This window comes from Homo sapiens, chromosome X, assembly GCF_000001405.40.
Source record: "Homo sapiens chromosome X, GRCh38.p14 Primary Assembly".
Classification (NCBI taxonomy): Eukaryota; Metazoa; Chordata; class Mammalia; order Primates; family Hominidae; genus Homo; species Homo sapiens.
Genome location: NC_000023.11, coordinates 152,434,848 through 152,451,602, shown reverse-complemented (window position 1 = coordinate 152,451,602; position 16,755 = coordinate 152,434,848). Strand labels below are relative to the sequence as shown.

The following is a 16,755-nucleotide window of genomic DNA, read 5'->3' as shown; positions in this document are numbered from 1 at the left end:
CTCCTCCCTTTCTCTCTGGGCTTCCCTCTATTTCTCTGTTGGATGCCTTAAGGAATAAAATACTACTTTAGTATTTCGTAAAACAACCACATCTAAAGCCTTGCAGTACTGTATTCAGAGCCCCAGCACAGCCGCGTGCTAAGCACCAGTGGTGAACCTAAAGCCAGCAAAGGGGGAGGGGAGAAGGGGAGGGGAGGAGGGGAGGGAGAAACTGACAGAGAGGGAGGGAGGCAGATTGAGAGAGAGAGAGAGAGAGAGAGAGAGAGAGAGAGAGAGCGAGAGAGCGTGAGCGCGCGCAAGCTAGCGAGCAAACCAGAGAGACAGACCGAGAGAGGGACCAGGAGAGAGACCCAGAGAGAGAAGAAGAAGCCAGAAGCCGAGCTCTGTCAGGGCTCAACCTCCAACTTGTTTCAGTTCATTCATCCTTCTCTCCTTTCCGCTCAGACTGTAGAGCTCGGTAAGAAACATTGATGTTCCTTCTTCCCCCTCCCCCAAGCTCAGGTCTCCTTTAGCGATAGCATCTCTCCCCCGTACTGAGAGTCTCCTTGGGTTGGCCGGGAGGCGAGGCATGCTCTGCAGCTGTGATGCTATCCTGGGTTCCCCAGTGGGGCTGGTGGAAGCCCAGAGGCGGCATCTGAGCAGGGAGACACTGGGGTAAAACCCGATTTGAGGAAGGGGGGTTGCGATGTGGTATATGCGTGATTTGCTTCATTGTCAGTGAATTGTTTTGTTCCTCTTTGGAAGCAGGTCAGCACTGACCTTGCAAATTGCTTGGGGGGCCCCAGCAGCTGCTGCAGAAAGCCACGGAGTGGCCCCTAGCCAAAGCAGACAGCACTGTCATGACCCCCCAGACAGCTCTAGGCACCAGGGATGTAGTAATGGCTGGAGCTTTCTCCCTTCTTTAACTCTTTCTCCGCAGCTGCTTCTCACTGCTGGAAATAAGAAAGAAGGAGGGTACCTTGCAGCCTCTTTCCCCATCTCCCCATTACCTCCCCCACATGCAAGTGAGTAGAAAGTTGTAAATAACTGCTTCCTTTAAAGCAGATTGAGCCCTCCCCCCTTCCTTTGAGGGGCTCACTGTGGGGTTGGGCCTGACTTCCTCCACAAACTTGGGAGGTTTGCCTTGTTTCCCGGCGAGAAGCTCCATTGCCTGCCCACCCTCAATTCCAGATAATTGAGCTGACATCCTAGATCAGAGATTGAGATACCCCACCCCATCTCACTCATAGGCATCATGTTAAGTCCAGCTGTGTCCTTGGAAGGGAGGAAACACCTGATGGTTTGTCTGCAACTGGCCTCCCAGTTTGTTGCTCCTCTGACTGTGGCTGTGGCTGTGGCTGCGGGTGGCATGGGCAAGAGGACTGGGGGAAGGGTGGCTGTTGGATTTATGGAAAGCAGGGTGATGAGGTAGGATTACTAACGTGAGTAGTTTGGCTTATTGAGAGTCAGCAAGTTCTGGTTGTCTGGAGCTCTGCAAAGACTGATTGAGGCTCTTGTAGTATAGCCCTTCAGAACTGGTAGGGGAAGGGATCCAATTGTTTGATGGGAGCTTTCTAAGTGAGTGACGCTGCTGTGCCTGTGGTAGTAATTCTGACATCCCTAATACTAATTGCTAAAATTATCGAGTATGTAGTATATTTTGGATTCTGGGCTGAGTGTTTGGTGTGTATTACTTCATTAAATTACTGTAGCAGAATAGTGCATTGAATAACAGACACTATTATTATCTTTGGTTTACTCACAAAATTGAGGCACAGAGAGGTTAAGTAACTTATCCAAGATTACAGAGCAATTACATGTCTCAGTTGGAAATTAAACTGGCAACCTGGTTCCAGAATCCGTGGTCTTAACCATGAAGCACTACTGCCTTCTTGGGGAGAATTTTGCACCTTTGTCTGTTAGGCAAGTGTAGATACAATAGGTACAGTGTGGCTTGGCAAGGTTTTTTGGAAAGTAGCGGCCTGGCTTTCGTGTAGAGTAACAGCAACTCAGCCTGGAGCCGGGCTTCACCTGGATTTCTGGAGGGGCTGCCCAAAAGACTTTGATTGGTCAGCTTCCTTTCCTTGAAAATCGTACTTCACTTTTTATAGCCTCATCCACCCAACATGCTCCAAACTGCACCTTTTAAAAACAGACCTCATTCTTATTTCCTGAGCATTTGGAGTTGTTCTGTGCCGAAAATTTTAGAATACTAAAACCTTGGAACTGGAAGGAGCCCAAAAGGTCATTCATTAAGCTTTATTTCTCTACTCAGTTCTTGAATTTATCCTAAGCATCCAATTTGTTGACTGATTTCTAGTTGAACTCCCTGCAGTGACAGAGAGTGCATTAGGTGGCTCTTTGTGTCATGGAGCAACTCTGATTGTCAGAAAGTATTCCCCATCATAAGCCAAAGTCTGTTTCCCAGTAACTTATATTCGTTGGTTCTTTGGGACTATCTGGAACAAATTTGCTTTTTCTTAATAATAGTTCTTCAGTTAGTTGAAGACAGCAATCATGCCTCCCTCTTAACCCTTGGATCCAATAAGACCACAGAGTAAAGGATTATCATTTACTTCATGCTGGATATTAGACTATTCTTAATATGGCCTAATAGCCCACTTGTTTTGTTAGCCACAAATTGACCCTACGGAGTTTTCTAGAGCAGCCCTGATAGTGTATATTCTCTTCCTTGGATGAGCTTGCTATCTGGTGTCAACTGGACTGATGGGAGCAAGGAAGGTCGCTTTCATATTCCTAAAGACCAGAAATTGGTTAGTACTAGTCCTTCTAAAGCCCCCAGGATGTCTATATGGCATCCGGACAATAGGCGTGTGGGAAGATTTGAGTGGCAGGAATTTTCATAAAGAAAATTATGAAATTTTCTAATTTCATGAAGAAAAGTACCACATTTGAAATAGTGGTAGTTCAAGGTTCATACAGTATGCAGAAGGTAGAAGAATATATTGTTTTATCAGAAAACACCTCAGGAATAATTACATCACTGAGGGGATACAATGCAGTGGGACTGGGTGGAAAGGGGTGAGTATGTGGTTGCTAGAATGGAACACTGACTTGGCTGTTAGCAAATTTGGGTTCCATTCCTAGCTCAGATGATTTGCTGATTATCTTGGACATATGACTTCCCCTCCATGTGCCTCAGTTTTTCCATCTGTAAGATGTTGAGATGGACTGTGTCTCTGAGGGTCTTTCAACTCTGAAATTCTCTATCTGAAGTAAATTATAAGATTTCAGAGTTATGAGAGGCTTCGGAAATCGTTAGGCCAGTGCTTCTCAAACTTTAATGTGTAAAAATATCTCCTGGGAATCTTGTTAAAATGCGAATTGTGATTCAGAGAGTCTATGGCAGGGGCCTCGGATTTTGCATTTTAGCAATCTATTAGGTGATCCTGAAACTGCTGTTCCACTGACCACACTTCAAGTAGCAAAGCTCTAGTAGAGTACTGGTCAAACTCCCCTAGTGAAGGAAAATGTTTGTTGTCATTTGTTTGTTTGTTTCCTAATCCATCACAGAAGACTGTTAATTTAGTAAAATAAATTAACCATGAATTACTAGAAAATGAAAGAAAAGACATACAAAAGATAAGCCCGCATTTGTATTATTAGATTCTACAGACATAAAATGATTTTTTCAAATTGCTGTAACATTTTCTAAGTGCTTACTCTTGACTTCTGTACTTTGGTCCTTACTGCCTGGTAATAAAAGTTCACAGACAGGCACTGATTTGGCGGGCTACATTTTGAGTGCACTGGTCTAGGCTACCTGCCCATCTAATTTAAGAGGCCCAAATTAGACCCAGCTTTAATTTCTAAATCACCTGTCATGATCTTTTACCCTACAGTTAAATATCTCCTTTAATGAAGAATTTAACATTTACACAAAGTTGCATTGTTCATGTGTTGTGACAGATAAAATGTTTGTTTTTTCTTAAAACTCTTAATTTCCTTAGAGTTTCTACAAATTACGCTTTCAGTTATATATTCCAAGTGGGTGAAGGGCTGTATCAGTTCAGTTAATTATACCGTTAGCCATTAGCCTAGTATATGACATAGAGTAGGAGGCTTAACAGATGTTTTTTAAATAAATGAATGAACCATTTGACATTAGTTGTGGGGCCATACATTCAATAAAGGAAAGGTAATTTGGGCTTTCTTCTGCATTGGGGAAACAGGATTCATCCCATTTTAAAAATTTCTTACAGTGGATAGAAAGCCAACTTGACTACTTCAGAGGGTTACTTGGTATCTCAATTTTATTTTGAAGGGATTGCTGGAGTGGGCCATTATAAGGCTGTTGGTCTTTATTCTAGAAAGAGTGGGACTGATTAAAGGGCTTTGAGCAGGATAACTGACATGGCTTAAATGGAATCTATTCAATATAAGGTTACTAAGTGCCTATGATGAACCAAAGATAATGTGGGAGATACAGGATTATTTAAGAATAGCCTCTGCCCTCCAAGATGACACAGTCAAGTAGGAAAGAGAAGAAATAGACAAACAACTATAGTATTAGGAGATGAGATCTACACCCATAAGAGAGAAGCAAAGGGCTTTAAGGAGATCAAAGACACCTTCCTGGAAGTGGCATTTGAAATGAGCTTTGAAGATGAGACAAACTTTGAGTGTGCAGAATTGGGGGATGGGAAAGGTATTCTATTCAGAGGCTAGTTGTGTTGGAGTAAAGTGTATGCAGAAATACTTATGTGGGATGTGTTTGGCAAGATAGATGGAGGGCTTGACTGTCAATCATACTGAATGCTAGATGGGAAAATTAGGACTTTATATGCAAAGGAGATGCAACTCCCTCATTTTGTGGATGAGCAAACCCATCTTGACAGGGTGAGGGACTTGATTTGCCTGAGGCCACACAGGTAGTAATATTGTTGTAGCCCAGTAAAAGGTACTGAGCACATTTGAAAATATGGGATTGGAACTCTGGAAAGAAGTCAGTAGGAGAGAGTGATTTGAGAGTCATTGCCTCTCAATACTTGAAATAGAATAAAAGAGATTCAGGGGTGGTACTTTGAAGAATGCTTTTTTTTTTTTTAGGATATGGGAGAGAACAATGAACCTTATGTGAAGGCTACAAAGGAGAAAAAGTCAGGGATATGGAAGGAAAATTAGAAGAGTACAGTGTTATGAAGGTGCCAAGAGAGGAGAGGCACCTTCTAATTTATTTCTTGCATACATAACATTTACTAGGCATGGAGAATATAATGGTGAGCAAAACAGACAAAGTTGTTGCCATCCTGGGCTCATGGTTTAGATGGTGAGATAGACATTATTCGACAGACCACTGAACTATGTAGTCATAAATTGTGATTCATATGTAGAGGAAAATGTACCGCTTTAAAAAGAAAGGTGTGGTCAGCATTATTAAACTTCACAGCAGAGTTGAGTAGTGATAGATGATATCTGGTTTATAACAGTCCTTCCCACTCTGATGGTCACAGTGCCTACCAACACTTCAGTTGGATGATGCATACGCATTTTGCAAATGTTTGGCAGATGACTGTGCTTCAATAGTAAGGGAAGGGAAGGGTCCCTCCAGGCTCATGTCCACAGGAGCAGTGACTTACTTAAAAACTAGGTTATATGTCATGTAGCTTAACTGAAATTCACAAAGACCCAGTGCCTTTCCCAGGTCCTCCAACTCTCTCTATTCAGCAATTTATAGGAAGAGGCACTTGATAAAAAATATGAAGAATTTGATATTAAAAATCCCTCTTAAAATGGGATTTCTGATAGCCTAGTCCTGACTTGGATACTCGGTTTGTTGTGACATATCACTTGTCTTGTTGGAGCCTGTTTCCATAACTGTAAAATACGGTGGGGGGAGGTTTGGAAAAGGGTTTTGAATAGGGTGACTGACATGAATCCATTAAGATATTTAGAAAGAGCCTCCAAGCTGTAAGGTTCTATAGTTCATGTTCTGCTCTATATTGTGTTATCATGGTTCTGTGCAGGTAGCTCAGGTTTGGTCACTTCTATAAGCAACACTAATAACTTTATACAGAATTCTGAAGGTTGATAATTTTGGTGGGAGTATTCACAGACTTTGGAAGGGGTCATTGAAATGCACCTTCCATTTTTTATTCCTGAGGTGACTGAAATTGTAACTGTCCTGAGAGTTAAGGAAAGAACTGACCGTATTGTAAAATATATAGTAAAGTTGGATATTAGGTGGTATTTCTATTACTGCTGGTTTGAAATAAACTAAAGTCACTGAGAATAAGATGGGGCATAATACTGTTAAATACACACAAGGTGATTATCTCATTCTGAAATGTAATGGTCCAGGTAGTCTCTTCCTGGGGGGAAGATGTATGTGAAGGGAAATACTAGTTGGTAATATAAAAGCATTTTTATACTTAAAAGCATGATTTTAAACGTATTGATGTCTGCACAAAATATGTCTCCTGAATATACACAGAAGGGGGAATAAAAATCTCCAGGATATATATTTTGAAGGGTACTTTTCTCTTTAAAAACTGATTTCTTAAAAAACACAAGTATTTTTTTTTTTTTTTTTTTTTTTTTTTGAGACGGAGTCTCACTCTGTTGCCCAGGCTGGAGTGCAGTGGCGGGATCTCGGCTCACTGCAAGCTCCGCCTCCCGGGTTCACGCCATTCTCCTGCCTCAGCCTCCCAAGTAGCTGGGACTACAGGCGCCCGCCACCACGCCCGGCTAATTTTTTGTATTTTTAGTAGAGACGGGGTTTCACCGTTTTAGCCGGGATGGTCTCGATCTCCTGACCTCGTGATCCGCCCGCCTCGGCCTCCCAAAGTGCTGGGATTACAGGCGTGAGCCACCGCGCCCGGCCAAAAAAAAACAAACAAACAAACAAAAAAAAACAAAAAAAAAAAAACACACAAGTATTATATATAGTTTTTAAGGGAAGGGGAGGTGGATGGAGATGGAATTATGTAAGTGACCATAGCATAAAATAACCTTTCAAAATAGTAAAAGAGGAGTTCAGAAATGGCAGGGCCCTTAACAATCATGTGATGGCAGTCTTATCACCCAGTACATATGGTCATCTGTTTTCAGTGTGAATGGTTTCAGGAAAGGTTGCTTAACACCACCAGATAACAGACAGCTTGGTTGTTAGCAAGTTATTCTTCATACTGACCTGCAATCTGTCTTCTGAATTCAACCTATTGATCTTGCACCTTGGAGCAATAGCTATACTGTGTAATTGCTGTTCCCCTTCCTTGTAGTGGCCATTCAAATGTTTAACCATGGTTGTTCTTCTCATCTTTTCTTCAGTCTATATATTGCTAGTTCTTGAGCTTATGTGATATATATTTTGAGAAACTTATACAGTAGACACTTCTATCTTCAGTGTCCCTCTTAATATATGATGTCCAAAACGGGACCCAGTACTTTAAGCATGGATGGCTAGCACTTCCATTTAAAAAATTGAGTATATTTTCTAATATACCTTAAGATTGTAATATCTACCATTACATTGTTTTTTCCTGATTATAAAAGTAAAACAACCGCATTACAGAAAATTTTGAAAATGAAGAGACATTTAAAAAAAAAATCACCTCTAAATCCCTAGTCCAGAGATACCTTGCTGTATTTCCTTTCAGATGTGTTTCTGTGTTTATATAATCGGGATCACATCTTATATGTACTATTTTTGATCTGGCTTTTTCATTGGTATTATATTGTGAGCATTTCCCCACATCGGTCAGCAGCCTTCAAACAATTTTTAATGGCTGCATACTTTTCAGTTTTCAATTTCTACCATAATTGTATGACAGATCACATATTGATCGTTTAAATTATTTTTGCTTCTTTGAACCTCACCTTTTTTAGGTCTTTATTCAAATGTCACATTTGAATTCTAAATGATCTCACATAAAAATGCAAACCCATCTTTTCCAACACTCACTCTTCCCCTTTCTTGCTTTACTTTTTTAAACCTTTGGTTTGTGTCATCACCTGATAGACTAGATACATTACATCTATTGTTTGGATTCCTGTTTTAGGGTGTAAGTCCCTCAAGCCCGGGGATTTTTTTCTCCATTTTGTTCACTCTTATATCCGCTAGAACCTACAATAAGGTCTGACATATTGTAGATACTTACTAAATATTTGTTGAATGAATTATTAAGATGAGTTTTTATGAAAGACATTACTGGGCCTGAAGATACTAACGTTTTAAAGGCTCTTGATATCTATGTGAAGGTGTTCCACTCTACTGTATAAGATTGTTGATTACTGCTCATACACCCATGACAGTGCTGGCCATTGCCATTCTTTTAAAATTTTTACCGATCTGTTAGGGGCAAAATGGTACCTTACTGTTTTAATACGTGTTTCTTTTATTATAATGAGATTGAATACTTTTTTATATTTCTTGATTAATTTTGTTTCCTTTCTATAAACATCTATTTATGATCTTTGTACATGTTCCATTAAGAACTTACATTTTTTTAAATTTGTATGGGCAATGTATGTTTAGTTGACCCATTAGACCTCTTTCTGTCAAATGTAGGGAAAATATTCTCCCACTTACATTTTAAATGTTTACATTTAAAAGTTTACATTTTAAATTGACTTTTATGCATAGTAATCTTAATTTTATGTAATTATATTTATCTTTTCATTTGTAATTTCTTCTGATGAATTCGTGTTTAAGAATTTCTTCCTCATTCAAAATTGGATAAGTGCTTAAATGAATTTTGTTTTAGTTTTTATTGCTTATGTTTAATCCCTCTGGAATTTATTTTGCTGTGTAGTGTGAGGTAATTTTCTAAATTGTTTTCCCTGCCAATTGTTTCATAGCACCAAACACTGAATAATTCATTCATTCCCACTGTTCTGTAATATATACAAATTGTAATATATAATAGATTCTGTTTGGAATTTATCTATTCTTCATTTCTTTTAGTCTGTCTCTTCCTGTCCTAGTTACAAAGTTTAAATATTATTGTAGCTTTAAAATAATTTTTATTACCTCAGCTCTTCTACTTACTAGCTGTGTAGTCTCTCTAAGCCTAAATTTATCTGTATAGAATGGGTAGCAGTAACATTTATTTTATGCTCTTAATTTTGTGAAGGGGATCTTTCTACCATTATTTCTGCTAATTGATTATGCAGAAAATTAGTATTTATGATTTTAACTTCTATTTTTTTCACTTTGCTGAAATTTATTATTATAAATGTATAGTTTACAAGTTATTTTCTTGTTTTTTTTCCCTTTTTTTATTTTGGAAATTTAAGGGAAACTCAGAGAATCTTTCAAAACAATGAACAAGTAACCACATATATACTACTCAGAGTGAACAACTGTTAGCATTTTGTCGTTTTGGCTTTTGATATGTTTTAATAAAATAAATGAAACATTATATATAAACTTTAACTTTCTTTGTGTCTAGCCCCCGTTTCATTCCTTTCCACATCCCTCCAAACGTGACACTCAGGGCCACTCACATTTGCTGAATTTTCTATTCAGTTGCTTCTTCTTACTGATTCATAAGACTTATTTATATATTCTGGATACTAATTATTTGTGATATATATAGCATATATCTGCTTCTATAATGTTACTTCGCTTTCTATTTTGTTTATGGGGTCCTTTATCATTACAGAAGTTTTACATTTTCATATCAGGTTTATCAATCTTTTCCTCCATGAATTGTGCTTTTTGTATCATGCTTTAAGAGATATTCCTGATGCTATGATCATAAAAAATGTTCTCCAAAATTTTGCTGAAGAGTTCAAGAAATTTTCTTTACACTTAGTTCTTTAATCCATCTGGATTTTATTCTTGTATGTGATGTAAAATATTAAGCAGTTTTTTTTCCATGTAAAATACTATTTGTTTTAAATATCATTTATACACAACTAGTTTAGACCGCAAACTCCACCACATTGCCTAATTTTTATATGTGTTTGAGTCTATTTCTAGGCTCTCTATTGTGTTTCATTAATCTATTTGTCTACACTTGTGTTGTTTTACCTACAAATGCTTTATAACGAATTTGATATTTGTAAAGTCAAGTTACTGTTCACTGCCTTCATCCACACTCACACCACTTTTCTTGTTTTTTCTGGATTATCTTATTTTTGGTCCTTTCCTCACTTACCTTAATTTTAAAACGAAATTATCAAATTACAAGAAAATAATGTTTGTTTTTCTTGAAATTATATTGAATCTGTAGAATGATTTGAAGAAGAATTGACATCCTTTTGACAGAGATTTCCTATTCATGAATATGTTATATCTTGGCATTTATTCAGGACTTTTTGCAACCTTTGATGAAGGTTGGTAAATTTATTGATAATACTCTTACATATTAGATTTAGTCCCAGGCAACTTTATTTTTTAGTCAGATTTATTAATGTATAATTAGCATAAAATAAAACTTACCCTTTGTAAGTGTACAGTTTAAGTTCTGACACATGTATATGATTGTGTAACCACTACCACCGGTGCCACCACAATAAGGATAGAGAAAATTTCCCTTACTATAACAGGTTCTTTTGGGCCCCTTTGCAGCCAGTTCTTTTCTTCTACCTACAATTCCAGGAAACCATCTATCTGTTTTCTTTTTCTTTTCTTTTTTTTTTTTTTATTATACTATAAGTCTGAGGTACATGTGCAGAACGTGCAGTTTTGTTACATAGATATACATGTGCCATGGTGGTTTGCTGCACCCATCAACCTGTCACATACATTAGGTATTTCTCCTAGTGCTATCCCTCCCCTAGCCTCCCACCCCCTGACGGGCCCCAGTGTGTGATGTTCCCCTCCCTGTGTCCATGTGTTCTCATTGTTCAGCTCCCACTAATGAGTGAGAACATGCAGTGTTTGGTTTTCTGTTCTTGTGTTAGTTTGCTGAGAATGATGGTTTCCAGCTTCATCCATGTTCCTGCAAAGGACATGAACTCATCCTTTTTTATGGCTGCATAGTATTCTGTGGTGAATATATGCCACACTTTCTTTATCCAGTCTATCACTGACGGACATTTGGGTTGGTTCCAAGTCTTTGTGAACAGTGCCACAATAAACATAGATGTACACGTGTCTTTATAGTAGCATGATTTAAAATCCTTTGGATATATACCCAGTAATGGGATCGCTGGGTCAAATGGTATTTCTAGTTCGAGATCATTGAGGAATTGCCACACTGTCTTCCACAATGGTTGAAGTAATTTACACTCCCACCAACAGTGTAAAGCGTTCCTATTTCTCCACATCCTCTCTAGCATCTGTTGTTTCTTGACTTTTTAATGATTGCCATTCTAACTGGTGTGAGATGGTATCTCATTGTGGTTTTGATTTGCATTTCTCTAATGAGCAGTGATGATGAGCTTTCTTTCATATGTTTGTTGGCTGCATAAATGTGTTCTTTTGAGAAGTGCCTGTTCATATCCTTTGCCCACTTTTTGATGGGGTTGTTTTTTTCTTGTAGATTTGTTTAAGTTCTTTGTAGATTCTGGATATTAGCCCTTTGTCAGTTGGATAGATTGCAAAAATTTTCTCCCATTCTGTAGGTTGCCTGTTCACTCTGATGATAGTCTCTTTTGCTGTGCAGAAGCTCTTTAGTTTAATTAGATCCCCTTTGTCAATTTTGGCTTTTGTTGCCATTGCTTTTGGTGTTTTAGACATGAAGTCTTTGCCCATGCCTATGTTCTGAATGGTATTGCCTAGGTTTTCTTCTAGGAATTTTATGGTTTTAGGTCTTAGGTTTACTGTCCTCAAAGTGTTGTTTCTTTTATGCTATCACATCAATGGAAACATTTGGTATGTAGTCTTTTGTGTCTGGCTTCTTCTAATTAGCACTTACTTTTAGGATTCATCCATGTTTTTGCATATTTTCATTATTGTTTATTCTTTATTATTGCTGAGTAATTTATTCATTCAACAGTTTAGGGACATTTGTTTTTTTCCCACTATTTAGCCATGTCGCAATGCTGTTATAAATGTTCTTGTACAGGTTTTTGCTTCACATATATTTTTATTTATGCTAGGTAAATACCTAGAAGGGGACTCCTGGGGTTATATGCAAAGTAAATGTCTAACTTTATAAGAAATTGTCAAGCTATTCTCCAAAGTGGCTATATAATTTTGCATTCCCACCGGCAGTGTGTAAGAGTCTCAGCTGCTCATTATCCCCACCACCACTTGGTATTTTCATCTTTAAAAAACTAGACCAGGCACGGTGGCTCATGCCTGTAATCCCAGTGCTTTGGAGGCCGTGGCAGGTGAATCACTTGAGGTCAGGAGTTCGAGACCAGCCTGGCCAACATGGTGAAACCCCGTCTCTACTAAAAATACAAAAATTAGCCTGGTGTGGTGGCAGGCGTCTGTAATCTCAGCTACTCGGGAGACTGAGGCAGGAGAATCAAATCACTTGAAACTGGGAGGTGGAGTTTGCAGTGAGCTGAGATTGTGCCGCTGCACTCCAGCCTGGGTGACAGAGTGAGACTTCATCTCAAAAAATAATAATAATAATAATAATAAACTTTATTTTAGAACAGTTTCGGATTTACAAAAAAATTCAACGGAGTTACCCCATCCCCCACCCCAGTTTCCCTTATTATTAACGTCTTTAATGTGGTGCATTTGTTACAACTGATAAACTGATATTGATATATTATTATTAACTCACGTCTATAGCTTGCATTTGTGCACACTCTTTGTGTTCTACAGTTCTATGAATTTTGACAATGTATAACATATATCCACCATTATTGTATAATATAGAATAGTTTCTCTGCCCTAAAAAATCTCCTGTTATATACCTGTTCATCCCTCCCTCCAGCCTGAACCTCTAGCAACCACTGATCTTTTCACTCTCTTTAATGTTTTGCCTTTTCCAAAATGTCATATAGTTGAAATTTTACAGTATGTAGCTTTTAAGGCTGGCTTCTTTCACTTGACAATATGTATTTAAGATTTTTCCATGTATTATCATGGCTTGATAACTCATTTCTTTTTATTGCTGAATAATATTCAATTGTGTGGATAGACACATAGGCTGTACCACAGTTTGTTTATCCATTCACCTACTGAAGGACATCTTGGTTACTTCCAAGTTTTGGCAATTATGAATAAAGCTGCTATAAGTGTTTGTAAGCAGGTTTTTGTGTGGATATAAGTTTTCAACTCATTTGGGTAAATACCGAGGAGTGCAATTGCTGGATCATATGGTAAAACTATGTTTAGCTTTGTAAGAAACTGCCTGACTGTCTTCCAAAGTGGCTATATCATTTTGCACTGCCATCAGCAATAAATGAGCATTCCTGTTGCTCCACATGTTTACTAGCATTTGGTGTTGTCTACATTTTGGATTTTGGACATTCTAATAGGTGTGTAGTGATACTTCATTGTTGCTGTAGTCTTCAATTCCCTAGCGACATACGAGTTGAGCATCTTTTTGCATGCTTATTTGCAATCTTATCTGTTTTGCTGAGCTGTCTCTTCAGTTCTTTTGCTCATTTTTAACGGGGCTGTTTTCTTATTGTTCAGTGTAAGAGTCCTTTATATATTTTCAATATAAGTTCTGTACTAGATATATGTTTTGCAAATATTTTCTCCTAGTCTATGGCATGTATTTTCATACTCTTAACAGTGCGTTTCACAGAGCAAAGATCTTAAATTTTAATGAAGGTCAATTTATCAGTTTTTACTTTCATGGATCATTCTTTCTTTTCCCCTATTTTGTCTTCTAGGACTTTTTTGGTTTTGTATTTTACTGGCTATGACCCATGTTGAGCTAATTTTTGTTAAGAATGTAAGGTCTTTGTCAAGATTCATCTTTTTTCTGCAAGTGGATGACCAGTTATTCCAGCACCATTTGTTGAAAAGACTATCATTTATCCCTTATATTATCTTTGCTTCTTTGTCAAGGATCAGTTGACTATATTCATGTGGGTCTATCTATTTCTGGGGTCTCTATTCTGTTCCACTGACGTATTCATCTATTCTTTTACCAGCACTACACTGCCTTGTTTCCTGTCAGGTAGTGTCAGTCCTCTAACTTTATTCCTATTCTTTAGTATTGTGTTTACTATTCTGGGTCTTTTGTCTTCCTATATAAACTTCAGCATCTGTTTATTGATATCTAGAAAATAAATTGTTGGGATTTTGGTTGGGACTGCATTGAATGTATATATCAGTTGAGAAGAACTGACCTTACCAATAATGAATCTTCCTATCCAACAATACTGAGTCTTCCTATTCATGACCATGGAATATTTCTCCATGTATTTAGATCTTCTTTGATTTCTCTTATCAGAGTTTTATAGTCTCCTTAAAGATATCATATACATATTTTGTTAGATTTATACCTAAGCATTTCAGATTTTGGTGGTAACATAAATAGTGCATTTTACATTTCAAATTCCAGTTGTTCATTGCTAGTATATAGGAATGCTATTGACTTTTGAAGATTAGTCTTGTATCCTGCCTTGTCAGTCTTTCCCGTGAGTGCGTAGTGGTAGCTCATTGTGGTTTAATTTGCATTTTCCTATGACTAATGATACTGAACATTTTCTCATGTGCTTATTAGCCATCTGTGTATCTCATTTGGAGAAATGTCCATTCAAATCGTTTGCCCATTTTAAAATTGGGATATTTGTGTTCTTATTATTGGGTCATTCTATAATACAATATATAATATTAAATATAATACAAATTCTTTAGAAGATATGTGTTTTGGAAATATTTTCTGCCCTTCTGTGGCTTGTCTTTTCATTTTCTTAATGGGTTTTCTATTATGACTTGTACCTTTTGCATTCTAAGAAGTCTTTGCATTAATTAAGTTCAAAATAATTCTCTCTTGTTTTGTTCTAGAGTTTTGTAGTTTCTGTTCTTTGATTTATGTCTTTGGTGCATGTTTAGATGACTTTTGCCTTTGGAGCAAGGTAATGTTCCAGGCATATACAATATATTTTTCCTTATGTATGTCCAGTTTTTCCAGCCCCATTTGTTGACAAGAGTATGTTTTGCCCATTGAATTACCTTGGCACCCTTGTCCAAAATCAACTGACTGTGTATGGATGGATCTACTTCTGGACTCTATTCTGTTTATTTGATCTGTTTGTGTAACCTTGAAACTAACATGCTGCATCAATTATTATAATTCAGTGGTTCCCAACTGGGGCAATATTCCCCCCAGGGACATTTGGCAATGTCTGGAGACATTTTTGGTTACCACAAATGGAGGGACATGCTCCTGGCATATTGTGGGTAGAGGCCAGGCAGCTACCCAAACAATAAAGTATTGCTCTGCCCCAAAATGTTAATATTGTTGAGGTTGAGAAACTGCAATAGCATTTTCGTAAATCTTGAAGTAAAGCATTGTGGATCCTTTAACTTTGTTCTTCATTTAAAAATTATTTTTGAAAAACAATTAAAAACTGTCTTTGGCTATCCTAGGTCCTTTGTATTTCCAGATAAATTGATCAGCCAGCTTTTCCCTTTCTCCTCCAAAAATGCTACTGAAAGATTTATTGGGATTGAGTTAAATCTTTAGGTCAATTTGGGAAGAAATGACATCTTAACTACCTTGAGTCTCCTGATACATTAAGATGGTATAACGTTTTATTGTTTATTTCTTCTTTAAATTATCTTAACAATGTTTTGTATATTTCAGTGTATAGATCTTGCATATATTTTGTGAAATTTATCTTAAGTAATACATGCTTTTTGATGCTATTATAAATGGTAATTTATAAATTTTAACTTCTGATATTTATTATTAGTGCATAGCAATACAATTAATTTTTGTCTATTGATATTGTATCTTATGAACTTATAAAACTTAATTACTAGTTCTAGTAGTTGTTTTGTTTGTTTTTAGATTCTTGGTATTTTCTGTATTTTATTATTATTCCTTTACTTTAAGTTCTGGGGCACATGTGCAGAATGTGCAGGTTTGTTACATAGGTATACATGTGCCATGAAGTTTGCTGCATCCATCAACCTGTCATCTGCATTAGGTATTTCTCCTAATGCTATCCCTCCCCTAGCCCCCCACCCCCTGACAGGCCCCAGTGTGTGATGTTCCCCTCCCTATGTCCATGTGTTCTCATTGTTCAACTCCCCCTTATGAGTGAGAACATGTGATGTTTGGTTTTCTGTTCTTGTGTTAGTTTGCTGAGAATGATGGTTTCCAGCTTCATCCATGTCCCTGCAAAGGACATGAACTCACCCTTTGTTATGGCCGCATAGTATTCCCTGGTGTATATGTGCCACATTTTCTTCATCCAGTCTATCACTGCTGGGCATTTGGGTTGGTACCAAGTCTTTGCTATTGTGAACAGTGCCGCAATAAACAAACGTGTGCATGCACCTTTATAGTAGAGTGATTTATAATCCTTTGGGTATATACTCAGTAATGGGATTGCTGGGTCAAATGGTATTTCTAGTTCTAGATCCTTGAGGAATTGCCACTCTGTCTTCCACAGTGGCTGAACTAATTTCTACACAGATGAGTATGCTGTCTGGTAGTAAACACAGTTTTAATTCCTATTTTCCAAATCATATCTTTTTTTCTTGCTGTATTTATATTATTTTATTTTATTTTTACTGTATTTTAACTGGATAGGACCTCTAGTAGAATGTTGAATGGAAGTGTACAGCAGATCTCCTTGCCTTGATCTTCATTTTATTGCAGGAAATATTCAGTCTTTCGCCATTAACTGTGGTGCCATCTTTGGATTTTTATCACATACCATTTATAAGTTTGAGGGAGTTCCCTTCTATCCATAGTTTGGTGAGGGATTTTT

General features: G+C 37.5%; 1 protein-coding gene across 2 annotated transcripts in view; it reads left to right on the top strand.

Annotated features, from left to right (window-relative positions):
- The window catches only part of GABRA3 (gamma-aminobutyric acid type A receptor subunit alpha3), a 285,082-nt gene continuing 268,614 nt past the window's right edge, over positions 288 to 16,755 (top strand). For both annotated transcript variants that reach the window (XM_006724811.4, NM_000808.4), the window contains exon 1: positions 288 to 457. The gene's annotated coding sequence lies outside the window, so the exon portion shown is untranslated. The remainder of the gene's footprint in view (positions 458 to 16,755) is intronic.